General features: G+C 45.7%; 1 protein-coding gene across 1 annotated transcript; it reads left to right on the top strand.

Moving 5' to 3' along the window:
• Positions 10,327 to 16,408, top strand: KRT6A (keratin 6A). Its single transcript, NM_005554.4, has 9 exons — positions 10,327 to 10,935; positions 11,848 to 12,062; positions 12,412 to 12,472; positions 12,631 to 12,726; positions 12,851 to 13,015; positions 13,516 to 13,641; positions 15,036 to 15,256; positions 15,481 to 15,515; positions 15,629 to 16,408. The coding sequence occupies exons 1-9, from the start codon at positions 10,396 to 10,398 to the stop codon at positions 15,862 to 15,864; spliced, it is 1,695 nt and encodes a 564-aa protein (NP_005545.1). The 5' UTR covers positions 10,327 to 10,395; the 3' UTR covers positions 15,865 to 16,408.

Below are 16,408 nucleotides of genomic sequence, written 5' to 3'. Positions count from 1 at the left end.
ATTGCAAGAACAGAAAACTGTAGAGCATTATCTCTCATAAGCATAGCTGTAAAAATCCCCTATAAAATATTAGCAAATCAAATCCAACAATGCATAAAAAGAATTATAAAAGAATTATACACCATGACCAAGTGACATTTATTCCACGTATGACAGACTGGTTCAACATTTGAACATCAGTTAATGTAATCAATCACAACAATAGGCCGTAGAAAAAAAAACACATGATTATATCAATAGGTGTATTGTGAAAAACAATTTCACAAAATCCAACACCATTTATAATGCAAACTCTTAGTAAGCTTGGAGGAGAGGGGAAATTTTACAACTTGATAAAGAACATTTACAGAAAACCTGTGCTAAGATTATACTTAATGGTGAGAAACTAGAAGCTTTCCTGCTAAGATCAGGAACAAGGCAAGGATTTCCCCTCTCATCACTACTTTTCAAAATAACTGGAAGTCCTAGTTAATGAAATAAGACAAGAAAAGGAAATGAAAGTTATACAAATTGGGTGGGAACAAATAAAACTTTGATCACATGACATAACTGTCTATGTAGAAAAAAAGATGCAATGAAAAACTACCCAAACTTACAAGTGATTATAGCAAAGTTGCATGATACAAGGCTAATATAAAAAGTCAATCACTTTCCAATGTACTAGCAAAGAACAATAGGAATTTGAAATAAAAAACATGATACTACGTATATTAGCACCTCCAAAAATGAAATAGTTGGTATAAATCTAACAAAATATATACATATCTACATAAGGAAAACTACAAGCTCTGATGAAAGACATCAAAGAACCAAATAAATTGAGAGATATTGCACGTTCATGGATAAGAAGATTCAATATTGTCAAGATGTCAGTTCTTCCCAACTTGATCTACAGATTCAATGCAATCCCAATCAAAATCTCAGCAAGTTATTTTCTGTAGACCAAAAAATGGATTCTAAAGTTTTATGAAGAAGCAAAAGATCTAAAATGGCCCAACAAAATATTGAAGAACAAAGTCAGAGTACTGTCAATACTTAACTTCAAGACTTACAATGAACTACAGTAATAAAGGCCATGTTGTGTTGGTGAACGAGTTGACAAATAGGTCAATGGAACATGATAGGAAGGCCAGAACTAGACCCACACAAATATAGTTAACTGGTCCTTGACAAAGAAACAACAGCAATATGAGGGAGCAAAGACAAATGCTATTGAAATAATTGAATACCCCACATGCAAATGAATCTCAACACAAACTTTACACTTTCCACAAAATTAACTCAAAATGGATCATAGCCCTAAATGTAAAATGCAAAGCTATGAAACTCCTAGAAGATAACATAGGAGAAAACCTAGATGACCTTGGGTATGGTGATGACTTTTAAGATACAACACCAAAGCCATGATCCATGAAAGGAATAATTGATAAGCTGGACCTCATTAAAATTAAAATCTGCTCTGCAAAACACACTGCCAAAATGAGAAGGCAAGCCACAGACTGGAAGAAAATATTAGCAAAAGACATATCTGATAAAGGACTCTTATTCAAACTACAATGTATTAGATAACTCTTAAAATTAACGGTAAGAAACGACCTGATTATAAAATGGACCAAATTCTTTAACAGACACATCACCAATGAAGATAATACAAATAGTAAGTAAGCATATGAAAGATTTTCAACATCATAGGTCATCAGAGAAATACAAATTAAAACAATAATGAAGTATCACAACATGCCTATTAGAATAGCCAAAATCCAGAACACTGACAATGCCAGGTGCTGGTGAAAATATGCAGCAATGGGAACACTTATTCATTACTGATGGGAATGCAAAATGGTATAGCCACTTTGGAAGACGGTTTGGTAGTTTTGTACAAAAGTAAACATACTTGGCCGGGCACAGTGACTCACTCCTGTAATTCCAGCACTTTGGGAGGCAGAGGTGGGCGGAACACGAGAGCAGGAGTTTGAGACCAGCCTGACCAACATGGTGAAATCCTGTCTCTACTAAAAATACAAAAATCAGCCGCGCATGGTGGCGCTTGCCTGTAATCCCAGCTATTCAGGAGGCTGAAGCAGGAGAATTACTTGAACCCAGGAGGCGGAGATTGCAGTGAGCCGAGATCGCGCCACTGCACTCCAGCCTGGGTGACAGAGCGAGACTCTGTCTCAAAAAAAAAAAGAGTAAACATACTTTTGCCATACAATCCAGCAGTTTTACTCCTTCATATTTACCCAAAGAAATGGAAAACTAATGCCCACATAGAAATTTGCACATATATATTAATAGCAACTTTATTCCTAATTTTCAAAACTTAGAAGCAACCAAGATGGGTGCTTAGACAATTGGCTGAATAAATAGACAATTTGTGGTACATCCATACAATAGAATTTCATTATTCAGCACTAAAAAGAAATGAGCTATCAAGCCATGAACAGGCATAGAGGAGCCTTAAATGCATATTGCTAAGTGAAAGAGGCCAGTCTGAAAAGGCTACATACTGTATGATTCCAACTACATGACATTTTGAAAAAGGCAAAACTATGGAGACCATAAAAAGCCCAGTGGCTGCCAATGGTTAGGGGGGAAGAAGGAATGAGTAAGTGGAACAGGAGGATTTTTAGGGCAGTGAAACTATTGTGTATGATACTATAATGGTGGGTTGTTGCAGGCTGAAAGAGTGAGGGTCGTGATCAACTCAGTATACCACCGGAGGCTGTATGAGTAAACAGCAAACTAGTCTCATGAATGCAGGTTGTTGGCAAACTGACAAACTGCATCTGCCACCCAGAAGGAATGCTGAGGGCAGTCACGCTGGCAGTGTTTCTCGTGATTAGGCATAATTGACACCTGTTAACAGTAATGTGAACCTGTGATCAATTAAGCAGCTGACCAATCATTACCTCCTCCTCCCTGCTCTTTCTACACAATAAATACGAAGGGCTGTGGAAGCTCAGCGGGCTGCCTTTGCTCACTAGAAACATGGAGCTCTCTTCTCCCCTGGACTCCTTCTTTAAAACAGTTTCTCTGTCTTAAGTTTTCATTTCTACGTTCGTCCCCCTTGGTTCAGTCCCATGGTAACCGTGGCAAACTGCCACAGTGGATATATGTTATTACACATTTTTAAAAGACCCATAGAATGTACAAAACCAAAGTGACTCTAATGTAAGCTATGACCTTTGAATAACAATGGCACATCAATGTAGATTCACCAATTGTAACCAATCTGCCACTCTGGTGGGGGATGTGGATAATGAGAAAGCTATGCATGTGTGTGTGTGGGCGTGGGGTTTATATGAGAATTCTTTGTAGTCTCTGTTAAATTTTGCTATGAACCTGAAGTTGTTCATAAAGTCTATTTTAAAAAATTGTACAATTAATTTGGAAAGCTAATACACATTGACCCTTGATGTCACAATTCAATTTCTAGGTATTTATTTAAGCAAAATGAAAACATTTGCCCACAGAAATATTCACAAATATGTTCATAACTGCTTTATTCACAGTAACCCCAAACTGGAACTATCCCAGGAACTCATCTGTAGGAATGAGTAAGCAAACTGTGGTATATTCATACAGCAGCACACCACTTAGCTGTAAAAAAGCATGAAATACTGATACGAACAACAACCTGGATGAATCTCAAAAACATTTTGTTGAGTGAAAAAAGCCAGACACATACAGCATGTATATAAATGGCACATGTGCAGTATGCATACACCCTATGATTCTTTGGTGGAAAAATCAAAACAGTATTTGCTTGGTGCAGTGGGATTCATAGGGAAGGTGCACAAAAGAATTTTCTGGAGTAATGGGAATATTCTATACCTTGATAGGGTGTGACTTATAGAGGTGCATGGATTTTTCAAAATAGATTGAACTCTGTACTTAAGAGCTACACATTTCACTGTATGTAAATTCTACCTCAATAAACAAAACTGTTTTCTTAAAAAGAGAAAGTGGTTGGGCATGGTGGAACTTCTCTTTAATCCTAGCACTTTGGGAGGCTAAGGCCAGAGGATCACTTGAGCCCAGGAGTTGGAGGCTGCAGTGAGCTATGACCGTGCCACTGCACTTCAAGCCAAGCTGTGGAACAGGGAAAGACCTCCATCTCTAAAAAATGAAATAAAATGATATGCAATAAAATAAAAATAAAGAGAGAAAGAAGATTTCACTTTTCCTCTTTCTATAGTGGAGATAGGAAAGAAAGACGTGTGTTAGGAATGGAACCTCCTTGTGGATGGATTAGCCAATCTACAGTTTCTGCCACAAGGTCCAGACTTTCCTAGCCATGTTGTGTGTTCCTCTGTGCCTATCTGGAAAAATTCAGGCTATTTCCCTGAAACAGCTGAGGGAAGGGAAGAGGAAAAAGAGAAGGAAATTAAATTTATCAGATCCCCCTGAGGCCTCACTTGCAACATGAGTTCCACAGACTTCTGCCAGAATATCAATGATCTGTCGCTAATCCTGCCCCTAGGCTTAAAGTGAAATTATACAAGATTAACAGATGGAAGCAGCCAGGAAATTCCAGGAAATCTCAGAGGAGACTGGCTTGCTTTCTAGGGTATTTGTACTCTAAGAGTAAAATGATTTGAAAGTAAATTTTATAGGTGGGAATTACTCCAGATCATTCCAAATGTGGAGGAATTACCTATTACCTCATAATTAATCAGATATTTTCCCTGAAATATTTTCCTGAATTAACCAGATATTTTCCTGAAATAAAGGGTGTTTGACCAGAAGGCCGATGGAGTGAGACATCCCTCTGTAAGAATTCACTTCATCCTATCTTTTACATTATTTAAGCCAGGCCCTGGGTATGTCACTGGGGGATAGTTGAAATATTTTTTCCCAAGTATACTTAAAAAAAATTAGACTGTGTAGTGAGGGGAGCCTTGCAGCAGTGAGGAAGTAGAAACCAGAGTTCAAAGTGGAGATGGGATAAGAAGGGAGATGGGAACTGGGGAAGGCAGTGGAGAGAAAAGGAAACCAGTCCATTGGAAACTCTTCTTGCAGTTTTTACCGGTCTCTCTGGAAGGCTGGCAGGGCTCCCTTCAACCCTGTTCTTATCAAGGACCTCAGCCACGTGACAGAAGGAGAGCCTGGTCCTTCACCTGCACACTATCTCCTGCTCACAGAGGAGGGTTCCTGCCTTGTCCTGTTGTGCAGCCTGTCCCTTTCTCGCCTTCTCATCTTTCCGAAAGCACTTCTCTGCACTTCCAACCTCCCTTCTTGCCTCCCATCATCAAAATGCCTCATTCATAAGATACACACTGCTCTTCCTCCTCTAACTAGTGTCCCCACACGGATCAGGAAAGCCAAAGGTTGTCCCCTTCTTCCAAATATGCCCGTCAGTGCCCAGCCCAGTTGTGCGCTTTCCAGTGATGTAAACATCCAAGTGCACCTACTTACCCAGTACCAGCATGCACAGGGTGAGTCAAGACGGATTGGACACATGCAAAATATGTCACTCGGTAACTACATTTTATATGAACATGCGTCAAACTCAATGTGTAGAGAGCCATCAGAGTAATTTCTGTAATTGTGCAAACACTCAATATTTGCCCCTCGAAGCACAGAACATGCATCAATCCTGTAGGCTAATGATTGTTTCCAGTTCACTCCAGGCTCCTTGTCAAAATCCACTTTTTTTTTTTTTTTGACACAGGGTTTTGCTCTGTTGCCCAGGCTGGAGTGCAGTGGCATGGTCATAGCTCACTGCAACCTCTGGTTCCCGGGCTCAAGCAATTCTCCCACATCAGCCTCCCAAGCAGCTGGGATTACAGGTGTGCACCACCATCCCCCATTAATTTTTGTACTTTTTGTAGAGAGTAGAGATGTGGTCTCACTATGTTGCCCAGGCTGCTCTCAAACTCCTAGACTCAAGTAATCCACCTGCCTCAACCTCCCAAAGTGCTGAGATTACAGGCGTGAGCCACCGTTCCAGGCATATAATCTACTTTTGATGGTTGAAGTGGCAGCTACAATGCTTCCCTCCATCCCTCAAGTCTGTGAGGAAGAGGTTCTTGATGTATCCTCAGTGGGAAAGTCACATGGAGTGACATCTGGGGATTTAGGAACCACACTTTTAAGGGCAGGTTGGCCTGTGCAAAATGTTATTCCAGTGACCTCTGGACTCCACAACTGACCTGAGATAGAGCCCCATCCCGCTGGAAAATGGAGTTGTGAGACTTCCTGCAGCTGTAGAGAAAGCCACTCATGGATCATGTTCAGATAGGCAATGCTGTCAATGTTCTCTGCAAAAAAAAAATAAAAAAAAATAAACGGACTGTGTGTGTGAAAATTGAGAAACAGAAGGGAAGCTCCAGAGCTAGGTGCATACTGAGTATTCATAAACAACATGATTACTAAGTAAAACAATTTTGAGGGATTCAAGACTCTCTAAACCACTAGGTCTACCATAGAAGGCTGCACATCTCACACTAGCCTTCGTGCTTCTGTCTATGTTGCTTACACGTGTGGCTGCCAGTATTTCTCTTTCAGTGGGTGCTCCCTAGGGACAGGCCTGGCTCGCTGGGATTCCCTCTGAGCAGCATCATCCTGCATTGTGGCTTGCAAGATTAGGCACTGAATCTTAAAGCTTTTGATGATGATGACAATAGCCTCTCCCTCATTCTCATCTGCCAACTCCACCCTGGGAGGCAGAACGCCTAGGCAAATCCTCTTTGAGGCAGACTTTCCATGAGCTCAGGCTTCAGGAGCTCCCTCCTGTCCTCCCTCCACACTGGGAACAACTCAAGAGTGCAGGTTAATCCCTGGGCCTGGAACAAAGGCATTCTGCATTCCAAGGCAATCAGAGACAGCTCCCACCTGAAGGGAGGCTCTCCCGGCAGAAGGAAGAGGCTGGGTTCAGCTGTCCCCTGGGGAGGAGGCTGGCTGTCATCCTGCTTACTCATCCTGCGTGCTTTGGTTTCTCTCACATAGTTGCCTGAACCATCACCCTTTGTTCTAATCTTCTTATGAAGGTTGTGCCTTCCCCACTCGGCTCTTCTAGGGAAACAGAACACCTCTGGGCACCACCATGGGACATGAGCCATGGTCACCAGAGAGGTTTCACCTGAGAATAACCATCCAGGGTAGATAGGGTGGCCTGCCTATGAACATGACCCTCTCCTGGGATAGGTGGTCGCTGGCAGAGGTAGACTCAGAGGCAGAGAGGGCTGGACTCACAGGAGAGAAAAGAACAGGGCCCAGCCTAGGGCAGCTGTCTGAAAGCAGGCCAGGAACAACAGGCACCTCCCACACCAGGACAAAGAAAGACATAGACAATCAATGGCAAATGAGCCAGGTGCAAACTTCCCCTTTTAGTGGTGGTGGGGCCTGGGAAGAAGTGGAATCAGAAATAGATCTTCCGGCAGCAGCAGGATTCCCTCCTCTCTAACTCCCCCTCCACTGTCTTAGAAGCCCTTCATCACCTCTCATGAGTCCTCCCAGCTGACCTCACTCTATGGGGTCACTGGACTTGGTTCCCAGAGCATGCCTGGCAGCTGGGAATGGGAATTTTTTTAAAAAACCTCTTAGTAGATATATAAGAGAATGTCATATAAATTTAGCAAAAGGAGATACACTGGTGTCAGGAAATTAAACATGGCACTTTATATTGCTGGTGCTGTCTGATGCACACACCAAGCCTAGATTGAATAAGATGTTGAAGTTAAACCATCCTCTGATAGACTAAATGAATTACATTACATATTTTATTCAGGGATGAGTTCACCCCCACACTTAAAAAGACAGGAACTCATTAGTGAAAAAGGAACTGATGCAGTTGGCACTGCTGGTTAATAGCAGCTGCCCCTGTGTGTGTACCCCAGAGAACAGCCTGAGACCCAGCAGAGGATGGGCAGGGGAACCTGACTCCATAAGAGGGAGAGCAGTCTTCTGGGCTCCTGCCAAGAACTCAGAGGTTGGATCCTCTCTCCAACCACCTTTCCTTCCAATCACTCAGACAACATGCTGCCTCCCCCACTGGGCGGAGCTCTGTCTGCCCCATGCTGCTGCTCAGCAGAGTGGCTGCAAGCTTGCAAATTGCTCTTCTGATCCTGTTGCTCTTCTGCCTTCTGCGGCTCTGTGTGGCATCTGGGAGCAGGGCAAACCTCTATACATGGCTTCCTAAGTCCTTACTAATGTGGCACAAGCCTGCAATGTTGGTTTCATTTCTCTTACCGGTCTCTGAACCACCCTCCTCCCCCACACACATACCCTGCACTTGTGTCCCTGTTCTTGACGCTTCTTGTGGGCCTCTACATACAAAATGTCTTCATACTTTCCTATGATAATATTAGCTTACCTTCGGTGAGAAATTATATGCCAGATGCCTTGCTAAGACCTTCAATTAATTATCTCACTGAAGCCTCACAATAGCACTTTGAGGCCGGTGCTATGTTCACTCCCAGTTTACAGGTGTAAAAACAAGGCACAAAGGGTTTAAGAAAGTGCAGAGGGACACCCAGGTGCTTGGTCATGAACCTGAGCCCTCTGTCTCCAAAGTCCATGCTCTTAACCAGGGGTTGGCAAATGTTTTCTTTAAAGGGACAAATAGTGACTATTTTAGGCTTTGCAGGGCATACAATCTCTGTTGTAACTACTCAGCTCTGTCTTTGTAGTGTGAAAGCAGCCGTGGACATTGGACATTGACACAGACATAGGACACTGGGTAAATGCATATAGCTCCCACCTGAATTGCCAACCCTTCTTACCCATCCTAGCATCATTCATGCCAAGCCTAAAGCCTCTATCCCAAGAGAGTAGAGTGGGTCGGAGCACATACCAGAAGGAACACTTCTTTCCCAGAACTGGGTGGAAGCACATTCTTGGTCAACCATTGTGCAACCAGGGTGGAGGGAGGGGAGCTGCTTCCGTTGTCTTGAGAAGGTATCTCGTTCTTGCCAGACGCTGAGTTAGCACCTCCTTTAGACAGGGAACACCCTGTTCTCCTGGATGCTGTGTCCCCCCCTCCAAATGTTGGAGAAATGGGACTGCTTTTAAAATAGTAACAAGAGCTTTCCTGAGGCTCTTCTTAGCATGGGAGTTTGTTCTTCCTCCTGCGGTTGCTCATTTATCCATAGGTTCTCACAGAACAATATTGCCCAGGATTGCTCTCCATTCTCCTCATGCACAGTGCTTAATGCATGGACTGGAGAAGTGAAGCTCATTCCTCTGTAAACCAAGCACACTCACCTTTGTCAGCCTGCCCACCCTCCCAGAAGGTGTATATGGATTTGAGATTTCAAGCACTGAGATCAGAAATTAAAATGTGGAATTGACATGTTACATCATCACACTTGTAAGGGCACAATTTTATGATTCACAGCTTCCATATGCCCCTTGACTTTCCCTACACACCCAATTAAACTGTCTGACTCTTGATTCTTAAGAAATGTCAAAATCTGTGGGAATAAAAATCCAGTGAATTCCTTAATGATTTTTATATCACTCATTTTCCGTTGTTTAAATTAAGCTCTATGTAAATGCTCCAAAACAGCAGGGAGAAGGTGTCTATAAATTTCAACTGGAAAGGCAGATTTACATGAGACTAAGCTCAATAGGAAAGCAAGCACTGGAGAGAGAGGTGCAGATATGGAAAGAAACTCCTGGCAGAAGTCAGGTCTCTGAGCACCCTGGGCAATGTCTGCTCCCTTCATTTTAGGTAAACGGCATGTGGGCAGGTGATCACACAGTACACAGAACAAATGTTGCTCCTACAGTGTAAAGACTCAACTCCTCTGTCCCTCTTGCCTGACAAAGGAGGGTTAGATCCCCAAAGCAGACCCCGTTCCTATGTCCAGGACACAAGGGAGGACAGCCAGGAGCTCCAGAAGAACTGGTCCAAATGCAGTGGAAAAAACACAACAGGCTACTTCTTGCTCAGGCCATCGGGCAAATGCCCATACGCCCTCAGGAAGGATCCCACTCAGAGGGTGAGGCTGGTGCAAGTGGAGTAGAAAACCTGTGTGGGAAGGGGGCACACAGGGAGTGTCTGATGAAGAAGAAGGAGGGGACAATTATCACAGATCAGCTCCTTGTCTCCTTTGTTTGAGGACATGACTAACTCATGACTTCAGTGAATGTATACCCGGGCTTATTGTGTTAGGATCAAGTCAAGGCTGGAAGGCAGGAGAATTTCTCTATGACTAAAGGAAGCCAAAAAGCAATCTTCATATTTCATACCTTTCTAGAAACTGGGTGTGATCTCACTGTTGGTAAAGCCCAGCCCTTCCCAACCTGCAAGCTCACCTTCCAGGACTGGGCCCAGCCCATGCTCTCCATATATAAGCTGCTGCCCCGAGCCTGATTCCTAGTCCTGCTTCTCTTCCCTCTCTCCTCCAGCCTCTCACACTCTCCTCAGCTCTCTCATCTCCTGGAACCATGGCCAGCACATCCACCACCATCAGGAGCCACAGCAGCAGCCGCCGGGGTTTCAGTGCCAACTCAGCCAGGCTCCCTGGGGTCAGCCGCTCTGGCTTCAGCAGCGTCTCCGTGTCCCGCTCCAGGGGCAGTGGTGGCCTGGGTGGTGCATGTGGAGGAGCTGGCTTTGGCAGCCGCAGTCTGTATGGCCTGGGGGGCTCCAAGAGGATCTCCATTGGAGGGGGCAGCTGTGCCATCAGTGGCGGCTATGGCAGCAGAGCCGGAGGCAGCTATGGCTTTGGTGGCGCCGGGAGTGGATTTGGTTTCGGTGGTGGAGCCGGCATTGGCTTTGGTCTGGGTGGTGGAGCCGGCCTTGCTGGTGGCTTTGGGGGCCCTGGCTTCCCTGTGTGCCCCCCTGGAGGCATCCAAGAGGTCACCGTCAACCAGAGTCTCCTGACTCCCCTCAACCTGCAAATCGATCCCACCATCCAGCGGGTGCGGGCTGAGGAGCGTGAACAGATCAAGACCCTCAACAACAAGTTTGCCTCCTTCATCGACAAGGTGAGCCAGTGCCATGCCCTCCATGGGGCACTTCAGGGTCCCCAGACCAGAGGAGCAACACCTTCCTGCCAGGGAGACCTAGGAGGGAGGGAGAAGAGGACTCAGCCCAGCTCTGCAGAGAGTGCAGATGGCTGCTGGTGCCCAGCAAGCAGCAGGGATGGGCATCACTCCCCCATGGGATCTCTGGAGTGGCCCTCACTCCTGCCTAGGGAGAACCATAACTTTTCATAACCCTGAAGCACAGATGAGGCCATCAGAGAATGGAGTAGGTTAACTCTTCCCTTTGAAGCGTCAAAGAAAATGCCAGGAGTACACGGGCTGGTAAATTACACTCTGGGGTCTGGATAAGAGGAAAAAATATTGGAAACAAAAGAAAGGATATTTTGGCTAGATTAAGAAAAAAAAGACTTAAAACGTTTATACGTTATGTGGAAATGTTAATTAATCCTCAAAACAAAGAATGACCATAACATCAGGATGTTTTAGAGGAGAGACTTGCACAAATGGGAAATAAGACGGGAATCAAATCATTGGGCAACATTTAACATCTCTTCTAACTGAGGTCCTATCAGTAATAAAAACTGTGTAAAATTTATCAGATGAATACTATTTTATAACTATGTTTGTAATTTTGGCTGGGAAAAGAAGGAAAAGACATGTTGAAACTCATTAATATGTCCAATAACTTAGAGAGTGAGAACACCTGAATGGTCCGTGGGACAATTCCTCTAGTGAGATTGGTGGGGTACAAAGGAGAAGGGGTTGGGGGAGCAGAGCTCAGCCTGAGCCTCTCTACATGCACTGTAGTAGCCCAGCACCATGGGAACCTCCCGGACCTGCCAGGAAACCGGATACCAGACACTTTTTCTTCCTTCCCTTGCCTGGAAAATGATCATCTTGTCTCTCTTTCAGGTGCGGTTCCTGGAGCAGCAGAACAAGGTTCTGGAAACAAAGTGGACCCTGCTGCAGGAGCAGGGCACCAAGACTGTGAGGCAGAACCTGGAGCCGTTGTTCGAGCAGTACATCAACAACCTCAGGAGGCAGCTGGACAGCATTGTCGGGGAACGGGGCCGCCTGGACTCAGAGCTCAGAGGCATGCAGGACCTGGTGGAGGACTTCAAGAACAAGTGAGTTAAACAGGAGAAATGGACTCAGTTTCCTGCAGCACACACTTCAAGACTATTGGGTGACCAGGGCCAGAAGGGGGTAATATTCCTAACAACCCATGTCCGTGGAAATGAAGAGCACAAATTAGTCCCTAGGAGCAAACCTGCAAGAACCACAGATGGTTATGGGAGGATGGGGAGATTAAAGAAGTGGCAAATTTAGCAGAAGCAAAAATCGTCTCTTAGGCTCTCTGTGGCAGGAAAGCCCAATTAGAATATATTCCATTCGGGAAAATGTTGAATCCCAGGCTGCTTTTCTGTTTCATCCTACCCACTGGCTCAAATGTGTCCCATGCCTTTCTTCCTGTAGATATGAGGATGAAATCAACAAGCGCACAGCAGCAGAGAATGAATTTGTGACTCTGAAGAAGGTGAGCAGATGAAGCCGGGGGTTCAAATTCATTTAGAAGGAGAGAAGTGGCTTTGTGTCCTCGCTCCCCTGGGAGAGGAGAATTGGCATGGAGACTAGAAGATGGGTAGATTGGAAAGGTGAGCTCAGGTAACTCCAGGTTGTTGGCTCTTTCCCCAGGATGTGGATGCTGCCTACATGAACAAGGTTGAACTGCAAGCCAAGGCAGACACTCTCACAGACGAGATCAACTTCCTGAGAGCCTTGTATGATGCAGTAAGCATCTCCACCATCCTTCTGTTTACTCTGATGGGGTCTGCAAAGGGGAGAAGATGTATAGGGTTGGGTATCTCTGTAAATATCGGAAGTGAAGTTGATCTTATGACCTTCTGTTCTGCAGGAGCTGTCCCAGATGCAGACCCACATCTCAGACACATCTGTGGTGCTGTCCATGGACAACAACCGCAACCTGGACCTGGACAGCATCATCGCTGAGGTCAAGGCCCAATATGAGGAGATTGCTCAGAGAAGCCGGGCTGAGGCTGAGTCCTGGTACCAGACCAAGGTGAGCAGGGAGTGGGCAGCCGCTGAGGAATCCCTGTGCCATCCCTGAATACCAGAGGACTGCAGACTTTACTGGGGACATCCCCTGACAGGAAGCTGGGGTCCTCTCACAGGACATGCACTCTGCACTATTAGAGTAGACATTTGCAGAACTTATGCCCAAGTCAAGAAGGAAAAAGAACCCAATGCAGGAGGAAAGCTACCATAGACAAGGACATAGTCATCTCTGCATTTAGCTTCACCCTGATTGCTGGCTTTTAGAAATTGGTACAGAACATTTCTACTCCCTAAAGAAACTAGGCAGGCAGTGGTGCCATAATGAGGATGGTCTGTGACTCCAGTGTTTAGTATCCACCAACCACATAATATCAACTTTTCCTCAAGTTTCTTGAGGAGAAGCCTTTAGGTCCACTTCATGACATGCATGATACACAAGTGAAAGTCATCGCTCCCAGGTAAGAACCCGTAGACACTGTCTCTCTCTCCACCTCTGGGCTGCAGTACGAGGAGCTGCAGGTCACAGCAGGCAGACATGGGGACGACCTGCGCAACACCAAGCAGGAGATTGCTGAGATCAACCGCATGATCCAGAGGCTGAGATCTGAGATCGACCACGTCAAGAAGCAGGTATGGTGAGGGACAATGGAGGAGAGAAGCATTTCCTTGTCAGGTCGTCAGGCAGCCATCAACCATTATATTAGGGAAAATCCCCTGGAACTTATCAAAACCAGGGAGAGGAGGCTATCATTTCCTACCCTTAGTGGGTACCTGCTGCTTAGGAGACATAGATCCTACCTATGGCATGACACAAACACATGAGAGAACCAGTCACGATGCTCAGAGCTGCAAAAACATGGTTTAGAGCAGGAGTGTCCAGTATTTTGGCTTCCCTGGACCACAGTGGAACAAGAAGAACTATCTTGGGCCACACATAAAATACACTAATACAAACAATAGCTGATAAGCTAAAACAAAACAAAACAAAACATACAGCCTTGTCCAGTGGCTCATGCCTGTAATCCCAGCACTTTGGGAGGCTGAGGCTAGTGGATCATGAGGTCAGGAGTGAGAGACAAGCCTGACCAACATGGTGAAACGCCGCCTCTATTAAAAATACATAAAAATTAGCCGGGCATGGTGGAGCGTGCCTGTAGTCCCAGCTACTCAGGAGACTGAAGCAGGAGAATCGCTTGAGCCTGGGAGGTGGAGGTTGCAGTGAGTCGATACCGCGCCACTGCACTCCAGCCTGGGTGACAGAGCAAAACTCTGTCTCAAAAAGAAAAAGAAAAAGAAAAAACCCTCATAATGTATTCAGAAAGTTTAAGAATTTGTGTTGGGCTGCATTTAAAGCCATCCTGGGCTGCATGTGGCCTGTGGGCTGTAGGTTGGACAAGCTTGGTCTAGAGGAATTGGATTTATTTCCATAGGAAGACTGACTTGGAAACTGCAAAGGAACAAATTGAAAAAGAAAAGGGCAGATAAGAAAGCACAAGGAACATTGTTTCAAATCTGCTCAAGACTCAAGGTGAAAGAGAGAGTAGAGGAAGGGCAAAGGACAAAGAACAGTAGATGAGAGATTCTGAGGGGGAGGAAGGCAAGGTCTCAGCAGTCTCATGTGAAGACTCATCACCTCACTTCAGGATGGTCTTAATTTTGTGTATGTTAGTGTGGCATCTATATGAGGTAATCATAAGTGGTCTTGATTTGACTGTGGAGACAACACTCCAAACAAACCAGCAGGTACATTTCTTCCAGTGTATGTGTCCACTGCAGTGTCTCCCATTAGTAAATATCCACATTCTCCCACAGAGTGGTTCACAAAAAGGGTTATGAGTTTTTGTCAAATGAACCAGACTGGACAAAAACTGCAAAATAAAAAAAAAAACAATAGATAGGAAGAGTCAGAGCTCATTCACCATCAATTCTGGGCTCCTGGCCCCTTCACTAGGAAATAACCAGCCAGGTTTAGTCTCCTCTGGAAGACCGGATGACAAGTTTCTTCTATTCCTTTCCTCTTCCAGTGCGCCAACCTGCAGGCCGCCATTGCTGATGCTGAGCAGCGTGGGGAGATGGCCCTCAAGGATGCCAAGAACAAGCTGGAAGGGCTGGAGGATGCCCTGCAGAAGGCCAAGCAGGACCTGGCCCGGCTGCTGAAGGAGTACCAGGAGCTGATGAATGTCAAGCTGGCCCTGGACGTGGAGATCGCCACCTACCGCAAGCTGCTGGAGGGTGAGGAGTGCAGGTGGGTAACTGACACGAACTCCTTCAACAGCTGAGTCCATCTTCAAGGTTCCTGGCACTGAGCACAACTTTAAGGTGCACTGCCCATGGCCATAATTGCTCTTCCTGAGAGAAAACTAAAAGAGCAGTTTCCCATGGACTCTTCCACCCACCGAGGCTGCCCACGCTGGTCCAGGGAAGGAAGAGCTCTCTGAGGTCTCACCCTCCCTGTGTTCCTCTCCACAGGCTGAATGGCGAAGGCGTTGGACAAGTCAACATCTGTAAGTACCTTTGCTTGCCTTCCTCCCCTGCCCTCGCACTCTTCTGACTGGGCTCAGGCTGACAGGATGAGCTCACCATGGCTTCTTGTGTCCTTGTCCCCTCCCCATCACAGCTGTGGTGCAGTCCACCGTCTCCAGTGGCTATGGCGGTGCCAGTGGTGTCGGCAGTGGCTTAGGCCTGGGTGGAGGAAGCAGCTACTCCTATGGCAGTGGTCTTGGCGTTGGAGGTGGCTTCAGTTCCAGCAGTGGCAGAGCCATTGGGGGTGGCCTCAGCTCTGTTGGAGGCGGCAGTTCCACCATCAAGTACACCACCACCTCCTCCTCCAGCAGGAAGAGCTATAAGCACTAAAGTGCGTCTGCTAGCTCTCGGTCCCACAGTCCTCAGGCCCCTCTCTGGCTGCAGAGCCCTCTCCTCAGGTTGCCTTTCCTCTCCTGGCCTCCAGTCTCCCCTGCTGTCCCAGGTAGAGCTGGGTATGGATGCTTAGTGCCCTCACTTCTTCTCTCTCTCTCTATACCATCTGAGCACCCATTGCTCACCATCAGATCAACCTCTGATTTTACATCATGATGTAATCACCACTGGAGCTTCACTGTTACTAAATTATTAATTTCTTGCCTCCAGTGTTCTATCTCTGAGGCTGAGCATTATAAGAAAATGACCTCTGCTCCTTTTCATTGCAGAAAATTGCCAGGGGCTTATTTCAGAACAACTTCCACTTACTTTCCACTGGCTCTCAAACTCTCTAACTTATAAGTGTTGTGAACCCCCACCCAGGCAGTATCCATGAAAGCACAAGTGACTAGTCCTATGATGTACAAAGCCTGTATCTCTGTGATGATTTCTGTGCTCTTCGCTGTTTGCAATTGCTAAATAAAGCAGATTTATAATACAA

The sequence above is a fragment of the Homo sapiens genome, chromosome 12, assembly GCF_000001405.40.
Source record: "Homo sapiens chromosome 12, GRCh38.p14 Primary Assembly".
In the NCBI taxonomy this organism is placed as follows: Eukaryota; Metazoa; Chordata; class Mammalia; order Primates; family Hominidae; genus Homo; species Homo sapiens.
The sequence above is the reverse complement of the archived record's forward strand: the minus strand, read 5'-3'. Positions and strand labels throughout refer to the sequence as shown.